The 6007-nt window shown below is 44.7% G+C and overlaps 1 non-coding gene and 1 pseudogene across 1 annotated transcript; both read right to left on the bottom strand.

The window, feature by feature from the left end:
• On the bottom strand, positions 1016–1103 carry MIR1285-2 (microRNA 1285-2). Its single transcript, NR_031617.1, has one exon. It is a non-coding gene; the product is annotated as a microRNA 1285-2 (primary transcript).
• Positions 1773–2156, bottom strand: RPL39P15 (ribosomal protein L39 pseudogene 15; annotated as a pseudogene).

Raw genomic sequence — 6007 nt, forward strand, 5'->3', positions numbered from 1 at the left:
GCGATTCTCCTGCCTCAGCCTCCCGAGTAGGTGGGATTACAGGCATGTGCCACCATGCCCGGCTAATTTTATATTTTTAGTAGAGATGGGGTTTCTCCGTGTTGGTCAGGCTGGTCTTGAATTCCTGACCTCAGATGATCTGCCTGCCTCGGCCTCCCAAAGTGCTGGGATTACAGGCGTGAGCCACCATGCCCGGCCTAATTTTTTTTTATTTTTAGTAGAGACAGGATTTCACCATGATGGCCAGGCTGGTCTCAAACTCCTGACTTCAAATGATCCACCCGCCTGATCTCAGCTCACTGCAACCTCTGCCTCCCAGGTTCAAGCGATTTTCCTGCCTCAGCCCGCCTAGTAGCTGAGATTACAGGCGTGGGCCAGCATGCCCCGCTAATTTTTGCATTTTTTAGTAGAGATGGGGTGTCACCATGTTGGACTGTCTGGTCTCAAACTCCTAACCTCAAGTGATCCGCCCACCTTGGCCTCCCAAAATGCTGGGATTACAGGTGTGAGCCACTGCGCCGGGCTTTTTTTTTTTTTTTTTTTTTTGAGACAGGGTCTCGCTCTGTTGCCCAGGCTGGAGTGCAGTGGCAATGATGTCAGCTCACTGCAGCCTCTGCCTCCAGGCTCAGGTGTTCCTGCTACCTTAGCCTCCTGAGTAGCTGGGACTACAGGCACGTGCCACCATGCCTGGCTAATTTTTTTTTTTTTTTGAGATAGAGTTTCACTCTTGTTGCCCAGGCTGGAGTGCAATGGCTCGATCTCAGCTCACTGCAACCTCCACCTCCCGGGTTCAAGCAATTCTCCTGCCTCAGCCTCCTGAGTTGCTGGGATTACAAGCGCCTGCCACCACACCCGGCCAATTTTTGTATTTTTAGTAGAGATGGGGTTTCACCATATTGGCCAGGCTGGTCTCGAATTCCTGACCTCAGGTCATCCGCCTGCCTCGGCCTCCCAAAGTGCTGGGATTACAGGCATGAGCCACCATGCCCGGCCCACGCCCAGCTAATTTTTGTATTCTTTGTAGAGACGGAGGTCTCACTTTGTTGCCCAGATTGGTCTCAAATTGCTGGGCTCAAGTGATGCACCAGCCTCGGCCTCCCAAAATGCTGGAATTACAGGTGTGAGCCACTGCGCCCAGTCCTGGCCTAATAGTTTTTTAATAGTTGCAAAATCGTCCATAAAATGAAAGTTCCCCAATGTATTGAATGGTAAATTGAATAAATTACCATAACTGGCATTGATGGATATTCAGGTTACTACTTTTCAAAAACCTATTGTATTACAAATAATGTTGCAGTTGTATCCTGGTACATGTACCTTTTTTTTTTTTTTTTTTTTTTTTGGAGGTTGGGGGGCAGAGTCTCACTCTGTGCCCAGACTGGAATGCAGTACCACAATCACTGCTCACCTCAGCCTCTACCTCCCAGGCTCAGGTGATCCTCCTGCCTCAGCCTCCTGAGTAGCTGGGACTACAGGTGCACACCACCATGCCAGGCTAATTTTTTTGTATTTTTTCGTAGAAACGGGGTTTCGCCATTTTGCTCAGGCTGGTCTCGAACCCTGGGCTCAAATCGTCCGCCTGCCCTAGCCTCCCAAAGTGCTGGGATTACAGGTGTGAGCCACTGAGCCCAGCCTCTTTCTCCAAGTTTAACTTTATTTTGTATCCAACCTATTTTCTTCTCATCTATATTGTTCTTCATGTTCATGTACTAGTTATTTTTGTTTGTTTGTTTGGGTGAAGTATTGTAATTACAGAAATGAGACTTTTTTTTTTTAAATGAAAGGCCTCACATATTTATTACTGAACCCAGCCAACCAATGCGTTCATAACAGATTCGGAGAGGAAAACACGTCGAACTCTCCAGATAGGGGTGACATTTTCAGCTTGATATGGTAACGTGATCGTGACCTTCAGACAGCATAAATATGTGTGCCATCTCATGTACAATTCCTTATAGACCCAGCTTGGTTCTTCTCCAATGTCTCCTTTTGGAGTTGTACCTGATTTTATTTCCAGTTTTCATCCGAATCCACTGGGGAATGGGACGATTTTGCTTTTGTTTCTTGGGCAGGAATCACTTAATCCTGAAAGTCTTGTGAGAAGACATGGTGAGGGTGGAGTCAAGAACACACCACGATGGCAGAGAAAGGAAAAGAGGCATGAGATCATTTTATACCCATCATGCAACCACAAGCTTTTCTCAACTGATAATACTAGGACATTAGTTATAGACCCATTTTTTTTTTTTTTGAGACGGAGTCTCACTCTGTCGCCCAGGTTGGAGTGCAGTGGCGTAATCTTGGCTCACTGCAGCCTCTGCCTCCTGGGTTCAAGCAATTGTCCTGTCTCAGCGTTCCTGAGTAGCTGGGATTACAGGTGTGCGCTACCACGCCTGGCTGATTTTTATATTTTTAGTAGTAGAGACAGGGTTTCACCATGTTGACCAGCCTGGTCTCAAATTCCTGACCTCAGGTGATCTGCCTGCTTCAGCCTCCCAAAGTGCTGGGATTACAGGTGTGAGCCACTGCGCCAAGCTCCAACATTCTTTTTTTGTAATTTTTTTTTTTTTTGAGATCAGCCTGTCAGGTTGGAGTGCAGTGGTGCAATCTCAGCTCACTGCAACCTTGGCCTCCCAAGTTCAAGTGATTCTCCTGCCTCAACCTCCCAAGTAGGTGGGATTACAGGCATGCATCACCACGCCCAGCTAATTTTTGTATTCTTAGTAGAGGCAGAGTTTTGCCACGTTGGCCAGGCTGGTCTTGAACTCCTGACCTCAGATATTCTGCCTGCCTTGGTCTCCCAGAGTGCTGGGATTACAGGCGTGAGCCACCGTGCCTGGCTTCCTTTTAATGCATGCATAATGTTCTATTGTATGGTATGTTGGGGAGAAAAAAAGAGTTTTCCTCTACCCTTCCGAGGTTTTGGTTGTGATAGACCCCTGTAACAAAAGACAGATTAACAAGAAGAAAACAAACAGGACCAGGCATGGTGGCTCATGCCTGTAATCCCAACACTTTGGGAGCCCAGGAGTTCCAGACCAGCCTGGGCAATATGGCAAAAAACCATCTCTACAAAAAATGTAAAAATTAGCTGGGCATGGTAGTGGATGCCTGTGGTCCCAGGTACTCTACTCTGGTGGCTGAGGTGGGTGGATCGCTTGAGCCCAGGAGCGAGAGGTTGCAGTGAGCCGTGATAGTGCCATTGCACTTCAGCCTGGGTGACAGAGCGAAGCCATCTCAAAATAAATAAAAGAAAGAAAGAAAAAAAGAAAAACAGAAATTTAAAAACATGTACGTCACGTATTCAAAAGAGAGACCAGGGAAATGAGCAAATCTCCAAGAGGTAGCTTTGAATTCAGGATTATACAGCATCTTCAAAAAAGAACAGTATATGTTTAGAGAAGTGTTAAGAGAACCGGGCACAGTGACTCACGCCTGTAATTCCAGCACTTTGGGAGGCCGAGGTGGGCGGATCACCTGAGGTCGGGAGTTCGAGACCAGCCTAACCAACACGGAGAAACCCCATCTCTACTAAAAATACAAAATTAGCTGGGTGTGGTGGCGCTTCCCTATAATCCCAGCTACTCAGGAGGCTGAGGCAGGAGAATTGCTTGAACCCGAGAGGCGGACGTTGCCGTGAGACTGCGCCATTGCACTCCAGCCTGGGCAACAAGAGCGAAACTTCGTCTCAAAAAAAAAAAAAAAAAGAAAGAAAGAAAAAAAAAGAGAAGTGTTAAGAGAAGGAAAATGATTTTGAGTCTCTAGGGGTGGCAAATTATGGGAAGGCAAATACGCGATAGAAAAAGGCTCATTAATGAAGTTTGTCATGTAGATTCCTGGCTGATAAAGGTTTGTCAAAAGACAAAATTACAACTAATTTAGTTTAAAGAGCATAATTGGCTTTTAGTTGCGATTGTAGAATTGTGCAACACCTCATTTTATAAAATCGAATGAGTGTTCCTATGAGTTGAGTGGAGGAGGTTGGCTTTCAGAAAGGGCTGAAGAAAGCAGAAACAGAAAAGTGCATTGGTTGTTTCGAGGTTACTTTCCTTGAAAAGTTTAAAGCAGAGGGTATTTCCTTATCATGTCACTTCAAACTGGTCTGTCGGGAATTTGGCTATTATTTTTCTTTCTCCTGATTTCTTAGAAAGTCAGATCGACAACTTAGTTTTGACCTTGTGATGTGGAACATGAGTGACTTGAGTGACTCCATTTTGGTTTAGTCTGTTGGGCCTAGTCTAGTGCAGGAGCTCAGTCCAAACCAATGGCTTCCTATGAATTTTATTTAACAGGCGTAAAATTGTCTTTAGTGATTAACCTTTGTCCTTCCAGGCAGTGTGGGAAGAGGGATACCTTTGCCTTTTAAAATTTATGTCCTGCTTTACTTCAGACATTACACTAAATAGGAGTGTTGAGTATAAAAATGAATTCACAATTAAAGTTGTTAAATTATTTGTATATAACTTTAAAAGGAGTTTTTTTGAAGCTTTGTAATTACATTGAAAGTATATTTGTTTCCTTGAAAACAATTTTTTGAAAAGTGAATAATAATATAATACAGCTTTCAAATTACTTTATGCTGTTACTTTATTTCTATTGTATTCACATGTGAAAGTATGTGATCAGTTGTTGCTGTATCAGAGATATTAGAGATTCTTTATTAGTTGGGCATTCTTTATGACCTTTTCTATAAAAGAGTAAGGACATTAAAATGTAAGATGCATGATAAAAATATAAGTAGCGAGGCTCATTGTAGTTAGCCTAAATTAAGTAATGTTTAAGGTAGGTGTTCATGGCCAGGCGCGGTGGCTCACACCTGTAATCCCAGCACTTTGTGAGGCCGAGGCGGGTGGATCATGAGGTCAGGAGATCGAGACCATCCTGGCTGACACACTGAAACCTCGTCTCTACTAAAAATACACAAAATTAGCCAGGCACGGTGGCGGGTGCCTGTAGTCCCAGCTACAGGCTGAGGCAGAAGAATTGCTTGAACCCGGGACGTAGAGTTTGCAGTGAGCTGAGATCGCACCACTGCACTCCAGACTGGGCAACAGAGCGAGACTCCGTCTCAAAAAAAAAAAAAAAAAGTAAGTGTTCAGAGTAATACTTTTCTACATTATACTGAGAGAAATTATAAATTATAAAGTATATCAAATTATATTATTTTACTAATTTTACTTTTATGTAATAAAATGCAATATATTTAAAAATTGTTAAAAAAATAAAATTTATGTCCTGCTTTTAGGCAAATGGGGAAGGCGGAGAACTTTCCACCCACGTATCTACATCGTATCTACATCTTCTCAATTGTCTTCGGCTTGAAATAATCCTTAGGCTAAAGAGGCGTATTTTGGGGTGGCACATTCTGGTGTCCTTACAGGTACACTACTTTTATTCATGTCTGTTACTACTATTACACCCCCTTCACCTTGGGCCACCCCATCCTCAGTCTCCCTCATTTTTCTTTACAGTTAGCACCATTTACCCATTCACGGAGAACCTTACAGTTCTCGCAACAGGGTGATCACTCAGTAAGTACTGTTGTCCCTTTGGTCTGTTTCTGGCAGCGATTAGCTGTGCGCATTCTTTGAGAGGAGCGACGGAGGGAACAGAAGAGGGTACTAGTGAAGAACTAAGGTGCTTCACCCAAATAGATAGGGAAGGAGGAGGAGAGCTGAGGCGAGCCTCAGCTTCTGCCTTTTTTTTTTTTTTTTTTTTTTTGAGACGGAGTCTGGCTCTGTCTCCCAGGCTGGAGTGCAGTGGCGCAATCTCGGCTCACTGCAAGCTCCGCCTCCCGGGTTCACGCCATTCTCCTGCCTCAGCCTCCCGAGTAGCTGGGACTACAGGCGCCCGCCACTATGCCGAGCTAAATTTTTGTATTTTTAGTAGAGACGGGGTTTCACCGTGTTAGCCAGGATGGTCTCGATCTCCTGACCTCATGATCCACCCACCTCGGCCTCCCAAAGTGCTGGGATTACAGGCTTGAGCCACCGCGCCCGGCCAGCTT

This window comes from Homo sapiens, chromosome 2, assembly GCF_000001405.40.
Source record: "Homo sapiens chromosome 2, GRCh38.p14 Primary Assembly".
Classification (NCBI taxonomy): domain Eukaryota; kingdom Metazoa; phylum Chordata; class Mammalia; order Primates; family Hominidae; genus Homo; species Homo sapiens.